Source organism: Homo sapiens, chromosome 7 (assembly GCF_000001405.40).
Source record: "Homo sapiens chromosome 7, GRCh38.p14 Primary Assembly".
NCBI lineage: Eukaryota > Metazoa > Chordata > Mammalia > Primates > Hominidae > Homo > Homo sapiens.
The window spans coordinates 71,247,384-71,271,749 of NC_000007.14; the positions used below are offsets into that span (position 1 = coordinate 71,247,384).

Here is a 24,366-nt window from a genome sequence, read left to right on the forward strand (position 1 = left end):
GTGCTTACCTCCTTGGCAGTTGAAAGTCCACAAATAACTTCAGGCTCCTAGAAACTTCACTACTAATAGTCTACTTTTTTTTTCTTTTTTGAGATGGAGTCTTTTTCTGTCGCTCCCACTGACAGTGCAGTGGCGCAATCTCGGCTCACTGCAACCTCTGCCTCCTGGGTTCAAGCTATTTTCCTGCCTCAGCCTCCCGAGCAGCTGGGATTACAGGCATGCGCCATCGTGTCTGGGTGATTTTTGTATTTTTAGTAGAGATGGGGTTTTGCCACATTGGCCAGGTTGGTCTCGAACTCCTGACCTCAGGTGATCCACCCACCTCAGCCTCCCAAAGTGCTGCGATTACAGGCATGAGCCACTGCACCTGGCCAAAGAGTCTACTGTTGACCAGAAGTCTAACCAGTAACATAAAGTCCATCAACACATACTATGTATGTCATATGTATTGTATATCATATTCTTACAATAAAGGCGAGCTAGAGAAAAGAAAATGTTTTTAAGAAAATCGTAAGGAAGAAGAAAATCTATTTACTGTTCGTTAAGTGGAAGTGGATTGTCATAAAGTTTTCATCTTCATCGCCTTCACATTGAGTAGGCTGAGGAGGAGAAAGAAGAGAGGTTGGTGTATTAGTCTGTTCTCACACTGCTATAAAGGAAGACCCAAGACTGGGTAATTTATAAAGGAAAGAGGTTTAATTGACTCACAGCTCCGCATGTCTGGGGAGGCCTCAGGAAACTTACAATCATGGTGGAAGGTGAAGGAGAAGCAAGTATCTTCTTCACAAGGTGGCAGAAAAGACAGAGAGAGAGAGAGCACAGGAAACTACACTTATAAAACCATGAGATCTCGTGAGAACTCACTGTCGTGAGAACAGCATAGAGGAAACTCCCATGATCCAGTCGCTTTCCACTAGGTCCCCCCCTCAACACGTGGGTATTACAATTTGAGATGAGATTTGGGTGGGGACACAGAGCCAAACCGTATCAGTTGGTCTTGCCGTCTCAGGGGTGGTCAAGGCAGAAGAAAATCCATGTATAAGTGGACCCATGTAATTCAAACCTGTGTTATTAAGGGTCAACTGTACTGCGACTTATATATAAAATAAAGACAGAAACATACAGATAGGACCTGAAAGGAACATACAGAAAATGAGAACAGTTGATGTGTTCATGTGGTGAAAATAGGAATGATCATTTTCCTTGTTTTTTTTCAGATCACTTCATTACAATTGCAGTGTTCCTTTAAGTCAGATCCTAGCTTTGTCAATGAATGGCTTCAGCTTTGTCATCTGTGAAATGGGTGTAATAATAATAGTTTGTAATACTAGCAACTCATTTCCCCCCATGCTTCTTTGTTCTTAGCCTTTCTATACATCAGCTCATTCGGTCTTCCCCACCCACCTATAAGGTCGGTATCTACAGACAGGCAAGGGAACGTGGAGGACTTGTCATAGTCACTCAGAGCAAATCTGGGCTTCCAGATCCACCTACTTTTACCGTAAAGGTGACAGCCTTAACCACCTCTTTGTACCATCTTCTTGCCTCTTCTCTACTGAATCTTTCTAGATATGTTGTAAGAAATAGAGGTGATGTTATGCTCCCTTTGGGCCTGGCATTTAGGAGAAATTCAGTCAACAGTAGCTGGTAATCACCATTGTCATTATAATGTTTGTATAATAAAGCAATAAGAAGAAAATAACAAAAAGTAGAGTCAGTATCTTGAAGTTCATGTATATGGTGAGCAAAACTCACAGCCAATATTTTCAGGCACATGCATTCTTAAGGTTCATCTTTACATAACAGCATCTGTTTCAGATTTCCTTTCTTACGTGGGTTAAATATACCTCCTGCAAGGATGTTTATAATGTCTTACCTCTTTTTAGCACTTTGTCCTTCTTTCAAAGCATATTCATATTTATTTTTTTCTCTCGTTAATTTTGGGAGACATGTCAGTGGTCCCCCCATTTTACAGATCTGTGATCTCTCACCTTTTTTGGATTGCATACCCCTATTGGTGAAAATTTTTGAGCACATACCTCCAATACCTGCATATATGTTTAATTATAAATTATATGTGTGGATTGCTGACAGATTGTATTTAAAAGCATGAGATGATGAAGATGAAATAAGCAATGCTTCAAATTTATTTTCCAATATGGTTTATTTAATAGCATAGGAAACCTTTTTTCCTCTCATTAAAATATCATTACTGGCTGTATTTTCCATGGCAGCCATCTTAGTAGATCTGTTTTTGTTATTTTCAAAATCATGATTTAATACTTTGTGATAGAGTAATTCACAGGTCTGGTTTTAATTCACTTATTTTTGGTTTCAATACTGGAAAAGATACCCCCCAAAAGAGATGTAGATCCAAGTAGAAGAAATTCATAGTTGGTGGTGCTTAATAAATTATGATACTCGCTTCGCGAAGCCATCCATGTATTATGCAAAAGTTTTTGTTGAAATTCAGCTAGTAAATTTCCATTTCTCATGATGCCAGTCAGTTGCTCTTGCAAACTAACTGAAAGGTGATGCATTTCAATATTTTTAACAAATGGGCCCAAAACCTGCTGAAACTCTTCATATGGAAGGCGTTTAAAAGCCTAGAAAATCTGTTTCCAAGTTTTTCAAGTGTGAACATATGAGTTTTTATAAATTAAATTATAGCATTTTCAGCCACAAATCATTAATCATAGAAACATTTCCAAACATCCATTTCAAAATGACTCTCTAGTAGTACAAGTATTCTTTTTTATTGGAAAGCATTAGTTTCTCATTCATCGTTTAAATGTCATCTTTACCTTGAGGTAACAAATTAAGTACGTTTATTTTTTCTGAAAATATTTATGGATGCCATAGGCTCTTGAGGGATATCTGTCATCCAAGAATAGGCCATTATATTTTGAACTTAAAAAATAATGTATAATTTATTATTAATTTACAGCCCTTCTTAAGTTTTTTGACACAAGATAACCAGCAAACTTCTGGGTATTTCCAGGGGATTTAGGTCACTGCCTATTTTACTAAAGGAGTTTTTTGACAGTATGGCTATATTTTAAATATCTGTGTTTTTACGATTGATATCCTGGAGGCTTTCGTGCCCTTTGCTGTAGTAACTTGCTAGGAATATAGAGTGAATGAAATTAGCTGTGCACCTGTCTCTGTAAGCTCGCCCCAAAACCCTTCTTTTATTTCAGTCAAAGCATCCATTCCATCAGGAGGCACCCTAGACGTTTTTCCCCTCGAACAAGGTTTTCACGTAAGAACTCATTTAGTTCAGAATATAAATTTACCGTAGTGACAAAAACTGCAATTACTTTTGCACCAACCCGATCATTGACTCACAAAAGTGGTATTTTGTATGTGTTGTAACAGAGACTGAATCTAGCAAGTATCACAGGCTGAAACGTGGGAAAAACCCTTTTCCCTGAGCACAGCAAACCTGCCTTCTGTGTGCGCCTTTCTTAAGTTTCTGTCTTCAAGTTGTCACCAGTGTTTTCAATACATTTTCCAAAAGTATTTGCTGACAAAGAAATGCATTTAGTTTATTGCCAGATTATGTTTTTGTGTAATAGTCCTGCTATCTTGGCTGTAGGTGAAAGCATAAGCATTTCCCCAACATGACTTCTTATTTATTTATTTTTTGTTATACTTTAAGTTCTAGGGTACATGTGCACAACGTGCAGGTTTGTACATATGTATACATTCGCCATGTTGGTGTGCTGCACCCATTAACTCATCATTTACGTTACGTATATCTCCTAATGCTATCCCTCCCCCCTCCCCCTTTTGCTATTGGGTGGAGAACTCTGAAAGAGAATCACAATGCTTATTGTTTAGTTTGGGGGAAATTTGGAAGGTCCTGGGATTGTGTCTAGTAGGGTGTTAAATATCATTGAAAATATTACAGATACTTGCCTTCTATTTCTGTATGGTTCATTTTAAAATGTCATTCAAAAGCATGATATATTCTTAAGGTAAGAATTAGTGTTACTGGCAGTGGGTCTGCATCCATATTTCAATACCTTTCTCCTTTTCTTTTGAGACAAGGTCCATGCTGTTGCCCAGGCTGGAGTGCAGTGGCACTATCATAATTCATTGCAGCCTTGAACTCCTGGGTTCAAGCAGTCTTCCCACCTGAGCTTCCCAAGTAGCTAGGACTATAGGTGTGCACCACTGCACCTAGCTAATTTAAAAATTTTTTTCGTAGAGATGGGGTCTCACTGTGTTGCCCAGGCTGGTCTCAAACTCCTGGCCTCAAGTGATCCTCTCTTCCCGGAGTGCTGAGATTACAGGCATGAGCCACCACAACTGACCTCGATATTCTTCTTGATAATTCCTTTTGGACCTATATCGGATTGTCAGTCTTTTAATCTCAGATAGTGGCTCCAGACAAGCTCCCAACAGGCAGAAAAGCGTCAGCTCTGCCCTGTGAGGTTGCAGCTTGTGTTTACCTTACGACTGTCACCCCCAGGGCACATGCTGTGTGCACAAATCTTTATGTCTCTTACCTGTTTTATGAGGACTTGTTTGGTTAAAGCTGAACCATAAGATCTGTACAGTCACTACCTGGGCATGTGTAAACTGCACATTCAGCCTCGGGCTGTGATCCAACCCTGGAAGAAGGTGCCCCTGCTGCCTCCTCCGGGACTCACTCAGGGAGCAAATTGTCCTTCCGACATGGGACATCACCCCCAAAAGAGGATGTCACCACCAGGGCATGTGTTTATTGTGGTTATACCCGATATCCTTTTTTTGTTTTCAGATCAATAAGCATTGCTATAACAGAAGTTTTATTATAGGCTTGCAACCTTTTATCTGCGATCCTGAAACTCAAAAAAAAAAAAAAAAAAGATGAGGCCGGGTGCAGTGGCTCATGCCTGTAATCCCAGCACTTTGTGAGGCTGAGGCAGGCGGATCACAAGGACAGGAGTTTGAGACCAGCCTGGCCAACATGATGAAACCCTGTCTCTACTAAAAATATAAAAATTACCTGGGCACGGTGGCACGTGCCTGTAGTCCCAGCTACTCGGGAGGCTGAGGCAGGAGAATCTCTTGAACATGAGAGGCGGAGGCTGCAGTGAGCCAAGATTGTACCACTGCACCCCACTGGGCTACAGAGTGAGAGTCTGTGTCAAAAAAAGGTGGTAAAACCTAACTGTAATGGGATATAAGGCTATTTATGACGTTTACTTGTCTCATTTAATGTGACTGTGCACACATTTCATTTCAGGAATATTGACATGTTAAGTTGGGATGCTGACCCAGACCCATTAGAGAGTGTTAGATCATACATATATGTGTGAAAGGAAAATACAACCTTGGAGCCCTCAACTTACTCTGCCAAAGGGGAAAGTCAAGCTGGGAACAGTCATGCAAACCGGCTTCCCATTTTGTTCCTAAATTCATAACTGCAAAGATAAAAGGCTGCATACCTCCCTCACGATTTATTCATGAGGAAATTCTTTGTGGGCTCCAATATCTTTTACCCTAAAGCAGTTCTATTGAGTTTCACCCTGACAATGTAAATTAACAGTTTATCTTCACAGGTATGGGACAAAGGACAGATTTGAAATCATCCCTCCACTCATCTGAGCCATATGCCTGTCTGACTGCATCCTCTATGTTTATTAAAAATGCTCTGTGTGCAAGACAACTTGAAATTGACTATTCTTCTGCCCTCTGCTTTCCCATGTAAAATGCAGATTCAGTGACCACTGATCAAAGCCTCAAATGAATGCAACCACGTACCTCTTTTATCTACTTCATTAGTTTGTTTTCATGCTGTTGATAAAGACATACCCAAGACTGGGTAACTTACAAAGAAAAAGAGGTTTAATGGACTCACAGTTCCCCGTGGCTGGGGAGGCCTTACAATCATGGCGGAAGGCAAAAGGCACATCTTACATGACAAGAGAGAATAAGAGCCAATTAGAAGGGGAAACCCCTTATAAAACCATCAGATCTCATGAGGCTTATTCACTACCATGAGAACAGTATGGGGGGAACTGCCCCCATGATTCGATGATCTCCCACGGGATCCCTCCTACAACACATGGGAATTATGGGAGCTAGAATTCACAATGAGATTTGGGTGGGGACACAGCCAAACCATATTACCTACTCTTCCTTTTTTTTTTTTTTTCCTTCGTCTCTTCCTTACTGCCTACTCTTTTCTCTTTAAATATAGACGTCCCCAAACTCTCTTTGGAAAAACCATGAATCACTGATATTTCCTGTGGTTTTGTGTTCCTTTTTCCTGAGCACATCCTAAACCTTGGCCAAATAAATCTCTAAAATAACTGAGACTCGAGTCAGTCATTTTCTTTGGCTTACATAGGTACAGGTAAGAATTTCTACAGCTCCCAAAGAACTCTGATTCTAAAAAATTTCTACAGCTCCCCAAATTCTGATTCTAAAACCCAGTGTGCCCAAGGTTTTGGATACAGGACCGTGACCCTTTCCACAGTACCATGAATTGTTCTGGCATTCCCCAGGGCGAGTTGTTGAGGGAAAGAGTCAAATTCTGTAAGATATTTGAAGAGATTTGTTCTGAGTCAAATGAGAGGACCATGACTCTTGACACAGTCCTGGGAGGTCCTGAGAACATGTGCCCCAGGAGGTCTGGTTACAACTTGGTTTTATATGTTTCAGGGAGACATAAGACATCAATCAGTGCATGGAAGGTGTGCATTGGCACTGTCCTGAAAGGCAGGACCACTCAAAGCTGAGGAGAGCTTCCAGGTCATAGGTAGATTCAAACATTTTCCAACTGACAATTGGTTGAAAGAGTTAAGTTATTATCTGGAGACCTAGAATCAATAGAAAGGAGCATTTGGGTTATGATAGATTCTTGTGGAGGTCAAGGTTTTTATCATGCAGATGAAGCCTCCAGGCAGCAGGCTTCAGAGCTCTTATTGGACATAAAAGGGTGCCAGACTCTTACTTAATTCTCTCCTGGATCAGGAAAAAGACCTGGGAAGGGAAGAGGATTCTCTACAGAATGTAGATTTTCCCTACAAGAGATAGCTTTGCAGTGCCGTTTCAAAATATGTCAAGGAAATATATTTTGGGGTAAAATACTTGGATTTCTTTCAGGGCCTCCCATCTATCATGTTGGTATCTTACTGCTGCAAAGAATCTTTTTTGTCAGTCTTCAGATCTCTGTTTTACTTTTAATGCTGGTCACCTGTGCCTTCCCAAAGGAGGAGAGTGTAAGAAGGCATGTCTGACCACCTAATTCCCATCATGGTCTCACCTAGTTTTTCAGGTTTCTTTGGAATGCCCTTGGCCAAGAAGGGGGTCCATCAATCAGTTGGGGGGCTTAGATTTGATTTTTGATTTACAGAGTGTACCCCACTTTTGAGCATATAAAGGGTGACATGAAAGCCCACAGGATTTGTTACTTGCTCCAAGTCACCCAGCAAGCTGAAAACAGGAATCTGAAATGAGACTCGGCCACAGTCTGCTACTGCGGCTTTCACTGAATCACATCTTGTTGTCTGTCTGAGGAGAAGATTCTGGGTCTAGTTTAAAACTGGAGCTTTCCAAAGAGAACATGTATATCAGTGGCCTTCTGCCAAGAGAAGATTTCATTCATTGCCAGCATCAGCTGTGAGAGGCGATGTCAGGGAGTGGGGAAGAATCTAGACTCACAGGATGTTCAAGTTAGAACATTTCCCCAGTGGATTCCTATCTATTTTCACTCATCCATTCAACAAAATATTCAATGATCCTATGCTAGGAATGGAGCTGATAGGGTTTGGCTCTGTCCCCACCCAAATCTCATCTTGAATTCTAGCTCCCACAATTCCCACATGTCTTGGGAGGGACACAATGGGAGGTAACTGAATCATGCGGGTGGGTCTTTCTCGTGCTGTTCTCGTGATAGTGAATAAGTCTCATGAGATCTGATGGTTGTATAAAGAGGAGTATCCCTGCACAAGCTCTCTCTTTTCTTGTCTGCCACCATGTGTGAGATGTACCTTTCACCTTCCACCATGATTGTGAGGCTTTGCCAGCCATGTGGAACTGAGTCCATCAAACCTGTTTCTTTTGTAAATTGCCCAGTCTTGGATATGTCTTTGTCAGCAGTGTGAAAATTGACTAACACAGGAGCTAGCTAAGCCCAGTCAAGACAAAAGTCTGTTGACTTCTGCCTCCCCTGAAGGAGTTTGCAGTTTACTGGGACGGTAGTGCAAATTTCCTGCATAAGATTCATTTGTAACCTGGAAAATGCTTGTGAGTTCAGGGGAGAAGGTGTCCCCTCTGGAGAGAGTGTGGTGATGTGTTCATAGGGAAAGTAGCTCTTAAATGGAAACGTACAGGTTGCCTGGGGCTTTTTCAGGGGAGCTGGCTTGTGGAAGGCATTCCAGCTGAGGGAACAGCATGAGTAAAGGCATAGTGGCTGGCCGAGAGACTAGATACATCTGCTGTAAACCAAAAATAAAATTCTCAGTCCTCCCCCAGCCACATGAATGGACCACTGTCCTCTCGGCCAAGGGCAATCCCAAGTTAACCTGAAAAATGAGTTCAGGCCATGATAGGGAGGGGAAGCTGGACATACCTCATTATACCCTTCTGCCTTTTCAGAATTACTGACAGAGCAGACTCTTTAATTCTGAAAAGAAGCATTTACAATCTATTCTCCCTGAAGCCTGCTACCTGGAGGCTTCATCTGCATGATAAAACCTTGGTCTCCACAACTCCTTATCACAACCCAGACATTCCTTTCTATTGATAATAATTCTTTCATCCATTTACCAATCAGAAAATCTGAATCTGCCTGTGACCCGCAAGCCCCCGCTTTCAGCTGTCCCACCTTTTCAGATCCAACCAGTGCACAGCTTGCATGTATTGATTGATGCCTGTTGTCTCCCTACAATGTATAAAACCAAGTTATGGGCTAGGCGTGGTGGCTCACACCTGTCATCCCAGCACTTTGGGAGGCTGAGGCAGGTGGATCATTTGAGGTAGGAGTTTGAGACCAGCCTGGCCAACATGGTGAAACCATGTCTCTACAAAAAATACAAAAATTAGCTGGACATGGTGGCACATGTCTGTAGTCCCAGCTACTTGGGAAGCTGAGACAAGAGAATTGCTTGAGCCTGGGAGGTGGAGGTTGCAGGTTGCAGTGGATGGCACCACTGCACTCCAGCCTGGGCGACAGAGTGAGACTCCGTCTCAAAAAAATAAAAACCAAAAACCAAAAACAAAAAAACAAAACTGAGTTCTGGACTGACCACCTTGCGCACGTGTTCTCAGGACTTCCTGAGGCTGTGTCACAGGCCACTGGTCACTCATATTTGGCTCAGAAGAAATCTCTCTAAATATTTTACAGATTTTGACTTTTTTCAATGACAATAATTTGGCACCCAATATGGGGCCGCTCTTTTTGCCAACACTGCGTATCTCAGTAGCTCGGTACTATTGACCGTTCAAGTGAGAATGAGAGAGGTAGGAGATGACACTATCTAGGCTGGCAGAGGTCCTGCCATCCCAGATTCTGTGCTGAGAGGTATAGATTTCCAATGCAGAGGTAGAGAACATTTTTGAGCAGGAGAGGGAAGAGTTTTTCTAAAAGGACTCTCTCTCTCGCACTCCTACCCCCTGCAGAAATGCCTTCTGCAACATTCCTGCTGGGTGGCTGAGCGGCCTCTGTGTGACCACTTCTGGGGACATTATTTGGTTAACATAGAAATTAATTTCTTTTATATAGCTCGTAGTTTGTAACCTCCATTGGTTTTAAAACCTGGCATTTTAGGGCTGTCTGAACAACTTCAATCTGTTCTTTTTTTGTGAAATGGGTGCAGGACACATCAGTTTAATTCATTCTGCATCCTCATTTTTCACACGAGTTGTCTTATTATTCTTAACTATTATTAAAAGGAATGATAAAAAGTAATTAACCATCTGGAACAGATTCATGCTTCCTATTAGTCAGGGTGTCCATTATGAAATCTCCTGAAAGTTCAGCCTTAGAAATAAATTCTCCAAGTAGGTGGATTAGCTAATGAATTTTTCTTCTCCAAAGATGAGTGTACTTTCCCAGCACAGCCAGCACTCCCCTCCACTGCTCATTTATCAAAGGGGGAAAAAGTAGAAGTGAAAAATAGAAATGGCTTGTCAATATAATTTACTGTATAAAAGCTATAGGTTTGATATGGTTTGTGGAAGGTTTCCGCACTATCCTTCTCCACTATTATTTATGGTTTTAGTGTGACGCTGAACCTCGCCTTCAGGAGGAAAATGCTGTATTCAGTCACTGGTCTCTTCAGGGTCCCTAGGAAATGCCCCCAGTCCCTTCCAGGCCACTGTGGGGATGCTGGAGATGGATCTGCTGCAGAACGAACCAACAGGTGATGCCAGAAGCCTAAGTTTGTCTTGTATGGATCCCGTGATGAGTTTTAGGGGCACTTGTAATTTGACAAAGGAAGAATTATGTTGCAAGTGGGTAACCGTTCTGTGCATCCTGGATTCTACGAATCACTGCCTACCACAGCCTCCTGGGCATTGACAGGCAGCCTTGACTCCTGGAAGACCATGTGACACCATGAGCCAGCTGTATTTGACCTCTGCATTGGCCCTTTATGCTTCTAAACCCAAATCATCGCTCCCCTCGGCCGTATCCATGGCCTCCCGCCATTGCTAATACCAATGAATTGAGACGGGATGGATCAGGGAACCCAAAGGCCACCCTCTTCCTTAATGGCTGCCCTTGCACTCACATGAGCTGAGACCCAAAAGTCCTTTCTCAGAGAGAAGCTGCTTCCTGGGAGAATTCCTCCTGGGTATAGAACATAGGGCCAGGCCTCCCAGGGCCAAGGGGCTGACTCCCATATTATCTGTGTCAACAAGAAGCATTTGCTTCTTGCAAATACTAGAAGATCTGAAGCTGTTCACTGCACTCAGTATTCCCTAAGTGCAATGCTGATTCATGGTCAAGAGTGAACTCTTCATGCTTCATGAAATCTTCCACGGTTTTGTATTATCCTGAGAAAGCTCAGCTCAAGTGCAGTTTCTTTCGTGAAGCCTTGATAATGCAGGTTACAAGTCAGTTCTATGCAACAAATATGGCACCTTTTGTGTCCTAAGCCCCACACTGGACTCTGAGGATCTAAGAGTAAATGAGACATGTGTCCATCCCCAAGAAGTTTTCAGTCTGCTGATAGACACATGTATAGAAAAACTGCAAATAAACACAGTAAGAGAGGTGGCAGGAATATATCACAGAAACCTGGAAGAAAACATTACCATCTGCCCTGAATGCTTGGGGAAATCTTTACAGAGAGGATGATATTTATGCTGGGTTTTGATGTATTCATAGGAGTTTGCAGGAAAACTGCAAATAAACACAGTAAGAGAGGTGTCAGGAATGTATCACAGAAACCTGGAAAAAAACATTACCATCTGCCCTGAATGCTTGGGAAAACCTTTACAGAGAGGATGATATTTATGCTGAGTTTTGAGGTATTCATAGGAGTTTGCTAAGTAGAAAGTAAGTGAAGGAGTGGGGAAGACATTTGACGCAGAAAAGACATACAAAAGCATGGCTTGAAAGCCTACAGGGTGGGGCATAGTGTATTTCTGATGCTCAGGGTATGTGTATATGGGGGATGAGGCTGGAGAGGGGACCTCTTCTAGTTGTTTCTAATGATATTGCAATCACCTAAGACCCCAAGCCTGGCACACCGTACCCACTGGAGCGGGGAGACCTAGGTTGAGTTCATGGGGTAGGGCTGGAGCAGGGAGCTCTTACCTTCAGAGGGCCTCTTTTTCATCCTAAATCTGAATGTCTAGAGAATTCCATACCCAGAAATGTCAAAGGCTTGGATCAAAGCTGCAGATCTCTGAGTCAGAGGGAGTTGGAAAAGAAGGAGCAACAGAAGCAAGTTGTTCCAGCCAGGTTTGAATGGGGGATGGCACTTTCCTGTTTCATGCACGTGTGCCTTGTCTTTTCAAATCAATTATATTCTACTTGAAGGCAAGAGAAATGGTTTAAGAAATTTGTTAAAGTATTATGAAAACATAGAGAAGTCGTATCAATTGCCCAAGGTGATAGAGTTAGCAGGGGCAGATATAGGGTTTTACGGGCACTTGGAAACGAAGCACTGGTCCCTGTCCTGTGTCTCAGATCTCATACACAGTTTGTGCTTAGTGGACAGTGTCACATATTAAGAGAGGGGACATAAGCCAATGGAAGTACACACAGAAGATGGAGACCAACAGATCTTGGTCCTGTTTTGTTTTTTGTTTTTTTGTTTTTTTTTTTTTGAGACGGAGTCTTGCTCTGTCACTCAGGCTGGAGTGCAGTGGCGCAATCTCGGCTCACTGCAAGCTCCGCCTCCCGGGTTCATGCCATTCTCCTTCCTCAGCCTCCTGGGTAGCTGGGACTACAGGTGCCCACCACCACGCCTGGCTAATTTTTTGTATTTTTAGTAGAGACAGGGTTTCACGGTGTTAGCCAGGATGGTCTCGATCTCCTGACCTCGTGATCCACCCGCCTCGGCCTCCCAAAGTGCTGAGATTACAGGCGTGAGCCACCGCACCCAGCCTCTTGGTCCTGTTTTATGGAAAAACATCTATTAAGGGAGCAGAGAGGATGACAAGGTCTTGGGTAGGGGATGGGGAGAGGGATCACTGTCATCAAATATTTGCAGGAATTTTATATACAAAAAGGAGTTGCTTTGTCCCATGTGGACTTGGAGGCCATCCTGGACTTGCAATAGAAGTTGCAGTGAGGCTGATTTCTCCCTAACTGCTGGTGCTACCTGAAAGTTCCATGGGCTGTCTAGAAAGAGTAAGCCTCCCAGGACGAGAGGCAGAAACATCATAGATATTGTCAAGGAACTTCTTCCTCTTGGTTGGTGACCCCACCAAATGATTTGCAGTGTCTCTTCCAATTTGGAGATGCTGTACATCTCTTGACACTTCTATAATTCTGCCATTCTCCCTGACTCCCAGGAGAGCCCAGGATCTGTGAAGACATCAGAAGTTGAGTGCTGGGCCGACTGAAACACACAGACCTTTGCTTTAATTATTCCACTGTGTGAGATCCATTTGCCAAGGGAAATGGGGAAAGTATTTTTAGCCAAGGCATTTGCTTTTAGGGGACTCATTCTCCTAGAAATATTCTACTCCTCCTCTTTTATGCTGTACCTTATTATTCCCCAGGAGTTTTACTCCTTGAGACACTATTTGGATTTTTTAAAATCTTTTTTTAATCTTTTTTTTTTTGAGACAGTCTTGCTCTGTCACCAAGCCTGGAGTGCAGTGGTATGATCCCAGCTCTCTGTACTCCTGGGCTCAAGTGACCCTCCTGCGTCAGCCTCCCAAGTAGCTGGGACCACAGGTACATGCCAACACATCCTGATAATTTTTATTTTTATTTTTATTTTGTAGAGATGGAAGTCTCACTATGTTGCCCAGGCTGGCCTCGAACTCCTGGACTCAAGCAATTCTCTTGCCTCAGCCTCCCAAAGTGCTGGTGTTATAGGCATGAGCCTCTGTGCCCAGCCTCTTTTTCATCCTTAAACTGGTTTGATTCCAAAAGAATTATAAACCCAGGTGTTAAATTTCAACATATAGAGATGACATCCTATTGATCGTCACACCGGCTCATCCTCCTGAGTGGGCAGCTGACTTCGCAGTGCAGGGATTCCCCTATGTGTGCACTTTGGAAGCCCTTGGACAGTTGGAGAAGTCCCCATGCTCAGGCTATACTCCGATGGATTATATCAGAAAATCTGGGTGGGGTCAGGCACTAGAGGTCTTTAAAGTTGCCTGGATGGTTCCAACGTGCGGTCACGTCTGAGAGTCGCTGCTTGAGATGCATCCTGGATTCTGCCTGGCAGGACTCATGGGCCCCTGTTCCCTTTCGGAGCTTAGAGGGATTGAGCAAAGCCACTTTCAGTTTTTCCACTTGCCAGGCAGGTGCTTGAGGAAGTTATTTGACTGCTCAGAGCCACCGGAGCAAAAATACTTTCCCCAATTTCCCTTGGCAAATGGATCTCACACAGCAGAATAACTAAAGCAAAGGTCTGTGTTTCAGTCAGCCTAGCACTCAGCTTCTGAGGTCTTCACAGATCCCGGGTTCTCCTGGGAGTCAGGGAGAATGGCAGAATTATAGAAGTGTCAAGAGATGCATAGCATCTCCAAACTGGAAGAGACACTGCAAATCATTTGGTGGGGTCACCAACCAAGAGGAGGAAGCTCCTTCCTCCGTGAAATGGAGACCCTGGAAGGTTGGCTTCGTGTGCCTTGAATCCCTGAGGTAGTGCCTGGCAGGGGGCTTGCCCTGGTGCCCTTGGCTGTGACAGTGGTGGTGATCGTGACAACCGTAAGGAACACTGGCTGGGCATTCTTCTGTGGAGGTGTAGCCTCTGTGCCAAGTGTGTCTCAGCTTTTTGCACGTGTACTTCATTTATTCCTCTTAGGAATCGGAGGTGGTAGTTACTATTATTATCTCACCCTTTTCACATTGCCACCTCCATGGAAAATGATGGTGTTTCTACAGCATAGTGGAGTAAAATAAGACAGCTGCCAGAGGTGACGAGCTTGGGCCCTCTTCCCGGGAGCCGTGAGCACTGAGGGGGTCTACATCTTGGGCACCCCGATTACCTGAGCGTGCACCTAGGAGGCTGTGTTTCTGACGCGTGATGATGGTGATGGTGAACAAGAATGTCAGGATGAATTGCCCTGTTGGTTTCTTCTTTTAAATCTTAATTGATTTTTATTTTTTTTGTAGGCGAGATCTTGCTCTGTCACCCAGGCTGGAGTGCAGTGGTGCGATCATAGCTCACTGCAGCTTCAAACTCCTGGGCTCAAGTGATCCTCCCACCTCAGCCTTCTGAGTAGCTGGGACTACAGGCATGTGCCATTTTGCCTGGCTGATTTTTAATTTTTTTTCTTGTAGAGGCAGACTGTCATTATGTTGTCCAGGCTGGTCTCAAAGTCCCGGCCTCAAGCAGTCCTCCTGCCTCAGCCTCCCAAAGTGCTGAGATTACAGGTGTAAGCCACTGTGCCCAACCTGTTTCTTATGTATATGTCACTTGTCATTGGCAGGCAAATTGGAGTTGTTCACTTGGCACAATTTCAATTCTTGGGAACTATTATGGGTTGAATTGCATTTTCCCCAAATTCCTATGTTAAAGTCCTAATCCCCAGAACCTCAGAATGAGACTGTACTTGTAGAAAAGATCTTAAAGATCTTAAGGGATAATTAAATTAAAATGAGGTCTTTAGAGTGGGCCTTAATCCAAGATGACTGACTGGTGTCCTTTTTTTTTACTTTCTTTTTTTTTTTTTTTTTTTGAGACAGGGTCTTGCTCTGTCACCCAGGCTGGAGTGCAGTCGCGTGATCTTGGCTCACTGCAACCTCTGCCTCCTGGGCTCAAGTGATCCTCCCACCTGAGCTCCCCAAGTAGCTGGGACCACAGGCACGAGCCACCAAGCCCAGCTAATTTTTGTTTGTTTTGTAGAGATAGGGTTTCACTTTGTTGCCCAGGCTGGTCTCAAACTCGTAAGTTCAAGCAATCCACCCACCTCAGCCTCCCAAAGTACTGGGATTACAGGCATGAGACACCACACCCAGCCGACTGGTGTCCTTATGAGAAGAGGAAATTTGGACACACATGTGTGCACAGAGAGGAAAGACCATATGAGGTTGCACAAGGATAAGACGGGCCATCTGCAAACCAAGGAGAGAGGCCTGCAGAAAGAAGCAGTCCTTTGGGAGGCTGAGGCAGGCGGATCTTGAGGTCAGGAGATTGAGACCATCCTGGCTAACATGGTGAAACCCTGTCTCTACTAAAAATATAAAAAATTAACTGGGTGTGGTGGCGGGTGCCTGTAGTCCCAGCTACTTGGGAGGCTGAGGCAGGAGAATCATTTGAACCCGGGAGGCGGAGGTTGCAGTGAGCTGAGATTGCGCTACTGCACTCCAGCCTTGGCCGCAGAGCGAGACTCCAAAAAACAAAACAAAACAAAAAAACAAGAAGCAATCTTGCAGCACTTTGATCTTATGCTTCCAGCCTCCAGAACGATGAGACAGTGAATGTCTGTTGTTTCAGCCACCCAGTCTGTGCAATTTTGTTATGGCAATGCTAGCAAACAAATACAGGGAAGAGAACTGTTTGCCACTTGCAGGAATTTACCTTTAGAGCCTCCTTGGGTTTTCCTTGCCTCTGAAAGAGTGGGTCACAAACTTTAGTGGGCTTGCAAACACCTGGAGGTCTTGTTAAAACCTCAGTGATCTGGCCGGGAGCGGTGGCTCATGCCTGTAATCCCAGCACTTTGAGAGGCCAAGGCGGGCGGATCACTAGGTCAGGAGATCGAGACCATCCTGGCTAACACGGTGAAACCCCGTCTCTACTAAAAAAATACAAAAAGTTAGCCGGCGTGGTGGCAGGCGCCTGTAGTCCTAGCTACTTGGGAGGCTGAGGCAGGAGAATGGCGTGAACCCGGGAGGCGGAGCTTGCAGTGAGCCGAGATCACACCACTGCACTCCAGCCTGGGCGATAGAGCGACATTCCGTCCCAAAAAAACAAAAAAACAACTTCAGCAATCTGATGTTTCCATGTGTGGGAGCGAGTGGGGCTTGTAAATTTGCGTTTTCTGGCATCTTCCTAGGTGATACTGCTGGTCTTGGGGACTATCGTTTGAGAGCTACTGCTCTGGCACTTGCAAGCCTGGAGGTGGCTCTCAGCAGGCCCTCCTATTAGCTTTTTGAACATTTTGACTTTGAGAGTGAGGGGAGAGCATGTGGATTAGCCTGCTGGGGGCAGCTGATGCTTCCAGTTGTGCCTTCATTCCTCTTGGACCTGCTCTCTAGGGGTTGAGCATGCCGCACATGCTTTCTTTATCATAGGCCCTCTTAGTTTGACAGCTGAAGGACACAACCCTTTATTTAGTCTTCGGTTCATTCTCCCTGTGTTTTTTGGGTTCTTCTTGGTTCTAGTCTTATATAGGCAGATACATTTCTGGGGTTACCTGGGTTGTACCTGAGGGGGTGAAGACAGTCACGTTATTGAACCTACTGTAAAAATGTAATAAATTCTAGAACTTCCATACCCTCCACAATCCTAGTGCTGAGTATTTATGCAAAGGAAAGGAAATCAGTGTGTCAGAGGGATACCTGCACCCCTGTTCATTGCAGCAGTATTCATAATAGCAAAGGTATAGAATCAAACTAAGTGTCCAGCAACAGAGGAATGGATAAAGAAAATGTGGTGTGTATGCACAGCAGAGTACCATTTGACCCTAAAAAAGAATGAAATCGTGTCATTTGCAGGGACATGGATGGAGCTGGAGGTCACTATGTTAAGTGAAATAAGTCGGGCACAGAAAAGAACATATTGAATGTTCTCACTCATATGTGGAAGTTAAAAAAGTCGACCTCATGGGGCCAGAGAGTGAAGCGATAGATACCAGAGGCTGGGAAGGGTGAATGGCAGGGGTAGGGTTCGTAGAGAGGTTGGTTAATGGGTGCAAAAATACAGTTAGAAGGAATACATTCTAATATTTGATAGCAGAGTAGGGTGACTGTAGTTAACAACAATGTATTGTAGATTTCCAGATAACTAGAAGAGGACTTGAAATGTTCCCAATTCATAGAAATGATCAACCCTTGAGGTGATGGACACCCCAAAACCCTGACTTGATCATGACACATTTGATGCATGTAACAAAATACCACACGTAACCCATAAATATTATATATATATATATATATATTTTTTTTTTTTTTTTTTTTTTTTTTGAGATGGAGTCTCTCTCTGTCACTCAGTCTGGAGTGCAGTGGCGCGATCTTGGCTCACTGCAACCTCCGCCTCCTGGGTTCAAGTGATTCTTCTGCCTCAGCCTCCCAAGTAACTGGGATTATAGGCGCATGCCACCACACCCAGCTAATTTTTGTATTTTTAGTAGAGACAGGGTTTCACCATATCGGCCAGGCTGCTCTCGAACTCCTGACCTCATGATCTGCCCGCCTTGGCCTCCCAAGGTGTTGGGATTACAGACGTGAGCCACTGTGCCCAGCCAGCTATATAAAATATTATGTATCAATATTTTTTAATGTGAGAAATTCTTAAGAAGATCTTTATGTTGATACCACATAATGATAGAGTGTAGAGAGGCTAAATTTGCACAAGGAGGGCAAGGAAGGTTTGACAGAGGTGGTGGTATCAGAGCTACTGTGTGACTGATTAGCAGAGATTTTCTTGGCAGAGAGGGGAGGCCCAAAGTGTTCTCTTCTAAGGCAGCAGTATGTGCAAAGGCACAAGGATTGGAAACAACCAGCCTCTCTAGGGGAAGATTTAAGGAGATAAGTGTGGCTGATGCATGAGGTCCATGGGTGGAGGCGTGGTGGGAGCTGAGAAGGAAGGGATAGGTTGGTGCCACTTGTGTCTACTGGGAGTTCAGTATTAATCTTTTAAGGAACAGGATGTATTAGTTTCATGCTGCTGCTGTAACAAATGGCTTCATAGTGGCATAAAACACCACACATTTATTCTTATAGTTTTCGAGGTTAGAAATCTGAAATGAGTTTTACAGGACTAAAATCAAGGTGTCTGCAAGGCTGCCTTCCTTCTGGAAGCTCCAAGGGTGAATGTAATTCATTCCTTTCCTCTCCTAGCTTCCAGAGGCTGCCAGCATTCCTTGGCTTATGGCCGCATCACTCCAGTCTCTGCATCTGTGGCTGCATCACTTTAGTCTCTGCATCTGTGGCTGCATGGACTTTGTTACTTTGATCCTCCTGTATACCTCTTATAAGGACTCTTGTGATATCATCAGGCCCACCCAGATAAATCCGGCATAGTCCCCCCCATCTCATGAGCCTTAATTTACTCACATCTGCCGATATGGTTTGGCTCTGTGTCCCAACCCAAATCTTATCTCAAATTGTAATCCCTATGTGTCGGAGGAGGGGCCTGGTGGGATGTGACTGAATCATGGGAGCGGACTTCCCCCTTACTGTTCTCATGATAGAATCCTCATGAGATCTGGTTGTTTGAAAGCATAGCACTTCCCACTTTGCTTTCTCTATCTCTCTCCTGCTCTGCCATGGTAAGGCGTGCTTACTTCCCTTTCATCTTTCCCCATGATTTTAAGTTTCCTGAGCTTCTGCAGTCATGCTTTCTGTTAAGCCTGCAGAACTATGAGTCATTTAAACCTTTTTCTTCGTAAATTACCCAGGCTCAGGTAGAGCTTTATAGGTATAGAGATTGGACTAATACATCTGCAAAGCCCCATTTGCCATATTGGGTAACATTCACAGTTTTTGGGGGTTAGAATGTGGATATCTATAGGGGGTCATGATTGAGCGTATTGTAGGGGAATTGAACAATTCAACTCTGCAAGGGGAGAGAAGTGCAACCTGGAAGGCCAGCTCTGCTGCTCTACCGGGTTGCATGAGGGAAGAGGAGAGCCTGGTCCCAAATATTGTCACTGGAGATGGGCAGGAGATGGTGGCTTGAACTAAGAGGGAAAAAAATTGGTGAGAATTTAGTAAAGGAGGCTGAAGACCCAGGAGGCATTGAGACTGACTCTGAGGTTTAAAATGCTGTCATTTTTTAATGGTGTCATTAACCAGGAGAAAGTGTGCAGAGCCTCCAGTCTCCAGTTGCCTGGCATACTTTTCTTGGTCTTTGCAACAATTTCAGGAATCCTTCCCTGACATGCAAAAGCCCATCCCCGAAGCAACGTGCTTTCCAGTTAGCACATGCTGCATCCCTGTGCTTCACAGTGACTTGCCTCACTCCGTTTGCTAGGCTGCAAGTTTCTGCAGCACCATGCAAGGTGCCTGTCCAAGCCAGGCTCTGGTTCTGTCGAGCTCCCCATTGGTATATAAAGATGTAGGTGTCCTTTGCGAGCTGCGCAATTGGCTATTGCCAGGATGCCCTTCTCAGGCTCCACGCCTTCCTGGAATGAGCCTTGGGGTTGAGTAGTTAACTTTGATATCTCCTGTTAAGGGATTTTCTAGTTTTTTTTTTTTTTTTCTTCTAGGAGGATATGTGGTTTTTAACATAGACATAAATAAGTCTAATAGGTAGAAATGACTTTGAAATAATTCATCAAGGAGGAATAATTCAGCTAGAAATAGCAGACACCAGTTTTCAAGCCTTCTTGCCTGTGTATTTTCAGAAATGTGCTCTCCTTTGAGATATTTCTCTCATCCATTTCGGTAAATATCTGTTGCGCTCATTTGCTGATGGATGGTGAACCTGCTTTGTCTCCTGTGTGTACTGGCTCTTTTATTCCCCTTTATCCTGCTTATTCCTTACAGCCATGGAGAACAGCAGGTTTCTTATTTTATTTTATTAAGTTCTGGGGTACAGGTGCAGGAGGTACAGGTTTGTTGTACAGGTAAACGAGTGCCATGCTGGTTTTCTGCACCTGTGAACCCATCACCTAGGTATTCAGCCCAGCATGCATTAGCTATTTGTCCTAATGCTCTCCCTCCCCCCACCTGCCCCCACCCCCACTTCCCAGCAGGCCCCAGTGTGTGTTTTTCCCCTCCCTGTGTCCATGTGGAGAACTGCAGGTTTCTTTACTTAAAAACAGGGCATGGGATGTTGAAGGAGACTGTTCCTTTCACTTGGGAATTCTGGTTTATGTCCCAAAGCTGAGAGCAATAGGGGCGTGTTTGCCATTTTTTCAGAGGGATGCTGGATGCCTCTGTGGAGGACCTACCAAGGGATTCACAAGATTCGTCCTGCAGCCTGGATGGCACTTCTCTCTAAGGAAAAGATGAGTTAATGGAGGAGAAAGTTGGAGGGAAGAATGGGTGTTTCTTTTTCCCTCCCAACAGGAGGGACTCCTCCCCAGGTCAAATGGGGAAATTTAAGCAAACCCCCCATACAGATTGGGATGCTGGCTAGGCATGGTGGCTCATGCCTGTAATTCCAACACACTGGGAGGTCGAGGTGGGTGGATCCCTTGAGCTCAGGAGCTTGAGAACAGCCTGGGCAACATGGTGAAACCCCGTGTCTACAAAAAATACAAAAAAAAAAAAAAATTAGCCAGGTGTGGTGGCATGTTCCTGAGTCCCATCCACTGGGGAGGCTGAGGTGGGAGGATGGCTTGAACTGGGGAGGTGGATGTTGCAGTGAGCCATGGTAGCACCACTGCACTCCAGCCTGGGCAACAGAATGAGATCCATCTCAATAAATAAATAAATAAATAAATAAATAAATAAATAAATAAATATTAAAAAAAAGAGATTGGGCTGCCTGCCAGAGGAGGCTGGCCTCTCCTTCACTGGCTGGGTGCTGGCTGAACTGTGGCACTCATAGGTCCATCTTCATAGGCGAGAGCAGGGTTTGATGAGTGCATTCTTGGGATCACCTGAAATAGGGAAGAAATTGATGTGACTTCTCTGGACTTGGAGGAGCCTCGGTGAAGGTTGGGGTTGTGCCTGTCTCCTGTCTCCTGCTTGGGGAATTCTGAGGGCAGGAGTTTGGTAGGCAGGAAGGGTGGGCAGCAATAGAGTGGCCTACATGGCTTCTTCTAGCATGACCAGCAGATGTGAGACTTGAGGCCTCATGGAGGCAGGAACAGGGAGGAATTAGGCTGGCTGCAGAGGGGATCTGGCACTGAGGCTGCCAAGGGCAGGTTCAATAAAAGTCCCTAGAGGCCAGCTGGAGAGCTTACTGCCATATCAGGGATCCCTGTAGCTTGGAAAGCCTCACAGCAGGGCCTGGGAGAACCCTCAGCCGGGCCCTTTAACAGGGCTCATCTTTGACCACTGCCAAGAGGTAACAAAGGAAAACACCAGGCAAGCGTTTAAGCCTTTTGTGGCCAGGCATCATGGCTCATGCCTATAATCCCAGTACTTTGGGAAGCCAAGGTGGTAGGATCACTTGAGGCCAGGGGTTCGAGACCAGCCTGGGCAACATAGTGAGACCCTATCTCTACAAAAATAAAAGAAAAATAAGCTGGGCATGGTGGTGCACACCTGTAGTCCCAGCTACTCAGGAGGCTTAGGTGGGAGGATCATTTGAGCCCAGGAGTTTGAGGCTGCAGTGAGCTATGATTGCGCCACTGTACTTCAGGTTGGGCAACAGAGCAAGACCATGTCTATTAAAAAATAAGCCTTTGCTTCCCTTGCTCTGTCTTCTCCCCTCTTCTCTCGTCTGCCTTGGTCTTGGAGGAGGCAGTAGAAGGAGTAGGGGCTGGAGGAAGTATGGAGGGCCATGCCACTGCTCATCTGTCTGCAGAGGTCCTCGACCCACACGTGGGGCCTAGACTGGGGAGGGGCAGGAAGCCGAGAACTGGACATGAATGGAAGTGTTCACAGGAGGCTGTGCCACACTTTGTAAATCCTAAAATTGAGTTGTAGTTTCCTAACTTATTTTCCTCTTATAACTGAAAGTGAGTGGAGGGCTAAGGGATTGTCATCTGGCTGAGAAGGGAGAGCTGTGATAGCATGGCTGGGGGAGGTGATGGAAGACGGATGGAGCCCTTGCCTTTGTCCCCCACAGATAAATTTGTTGTAAAACCTAACAAGAGCACAAAGCAGGGGATAGACTCAGGAAGAGAGATTAATACACTCTCTGAAACGCTTTGTACTGATTTACAGGCTTTAGGAAATATTTTCATGAGTGTGTGTGACACCTCTCTCTCTGTCTAGCACATAGTATTCATTTATAAACCTACCTCCCTGCTGCCCTACACATTTAATAAATGTGCTTTAAACTCATTTACTCACCCCCAGCAACCTTATGAGTAGTTACTATTTTTAGCCCCGTTTTACAGAGAAGCAACTAAAGCACAGAGAGATTGAGAAACGTGTTGAAGGGTGCACAGCACATGTGGAGGAACTGTGATCTGCACTCAGACCTTCTAGTCCCTGGGGTATCTCACTCTCCCCCCTTGTATCTCCTCTATCTCTCAATTTTTTATTATAGAATGCAGATCACGAGGTCAGGAGATTGAGACCAGCCTGGCCAACATGATGAAACCCCGTCTCTACTAAAAAAATAACAAAAATTAGCTGGGCGTGGTGGTGGGCGCTTGTAATCCTAGCTACTCTGGAGGCTGAGGCAGGAGAATCATTTGAACCCGGGAGGCAAAGGTTGCAGTGAGCCGAGATTGCACCATTTTGCCCCAGCCTGGGCGACAGTGCGAGACTACGTACCCTCCCCACCCCACCAAAAAAAAAAAAAAAAAAAAAAAGAAACGAATTTTCTAAACATATATAAGGTAAAGAGAATAATATAATGGACTTAATGTATGCATCACTTGGCTTCAGCAATTCTCCTTTTATAAAATGCATTCCAAACCCTTACCCTCTTCTGCCTCTTTCAGCAAATTTGTTTGAGGTGGTGGATGTTTGCTGAGTGGACGGATGAAAAAAAATAGTTGAAGAGTAATTGCCATTTGATACAGAACAGAAGAGCTTAGCTTTGGTTTAAGCTGTTCATTTCCCTCCCACAGTCTGAAGTTCAGCTGCAGGAAAAAAAAATAAAAAAGAAAGAAAAGTAATTTAAGTAATTTAAATTCTGCCTGCTGACTTAGTTTTGTCCTCATCTTATCTGACCTTATTTAATCAGAGAAAAAAAAAAGAAGAAAAGAAAAGAAAAAAAAAGACTGGGAAAGCGTTTTCTAGGAATTTCATCATGACCCTTTAAACACATCTTCCATTTACACTTATATAATTGTTTCATACGGGATAGTGTTAATAATACCAAATTTCATTCCTAAAGCAAGCTGACAAAAGCATTTAAAGACTTGCTCATTCCAAATGTGTTAGAGCAGCTGAGAATCACGATCTGGTGCCAGTTCATTTGCTTTCAATACTTCCTGCTTTTGGGTGCTGCATATTTTCTTTACAATAGCCCATAGTTAGGGCCATATCCATACACCCCAACTCCAGATTCCTGTCACGCGCCTTCCAGTGCAAGAAATGATCATGCTTTAGGGTGCACGGGGCACAGTCTAGCATTTTCCTTGCTTTCCACATCAGGGTGATGATGCTCAGAGATGTAGAAGAGCTCCCAAAGGGGTGGCACTGACCAGTGGCCACGTGGCTCCCTGGGCCTGTTCATCCATCCCGGTTTGTTCTGAGATAACCTCATGTCCAGGAAACAGCCTTGGCTAACGTGCCTAGGAGCAGTTTTTGAAAGAATCTGAGCTCACGGAAATGAAGTAAAAAATCTCTGGCACTCATTCAGGTTTTTTATTTAAGATTTATTAAAGGATAATTTACAGGCGATAACATTCACCCTTTTTGGGTGTACAGTTTGATGAGTGTTGGCAATGGATATGTAGCTGTGGATTTACCACCACAGTTAAGATGCAGAATAATCCCATTTTGTGGTCAGTCTCCAACTCATCCTTAGCAATCACTGATCTGTTCTCTAA

At 44.3% G+C, this 24,366-nt stretch overlaps 1 protein-coding gene across 4 annotated transcripts in view, besides 2 other annotated features; it reads left to right on the forward strand.

Annotated features, from left to right (window-relative positions):
* The window catches only part of GALNT17 (polypeptide N-acetylgalactosaminyltransferase 17), a 581,456-nt gene that overhangs the window by 115,240 nt on the left and 441,850 nt on the right, over positions 1-24,366 (forward strand). The window lies entirely within an intron of this gene.
* Positions 7,963-8,471: an enhancer, noted in NCBI's record as "OCT4-NANOG-H3K27ac-H3K4me1 hESC enhancer chr7:70720332-70720840 (GRCh37/hg19 assembly coordinates)". NCBI's record gives its function as "activates a minimal SCP1, AML or CMV promoter by ChIP-STARR-seq in primed H9 embryonic stem cells {active_cell/tissue: H9 hESC(primed)}" and the evidence as "EXISTENCE:reporter gene assay evidence [ECO:0000049][PMID:30033119]".
* Positions 8,472-8,981: an enhancer, noted in NCBI's record as "OCT4-NANOG-H3K27ac-H3K4me1 hESC enhancer chr7:70720841-70721350 (GRCh37/hg19 assembly coordinates)". NCBI's record gives its function as "activates a minimal SCP1, AML or CMV promoter by ChIP-STARR-seq in naive and primed H9 embryonic stem cells {active_cell/tissue: H9 hESC(naive and primed)}" and the evidence as "EXISTENCE:reporter gene assay evidence [ECO:0000049][PMID:30033119]".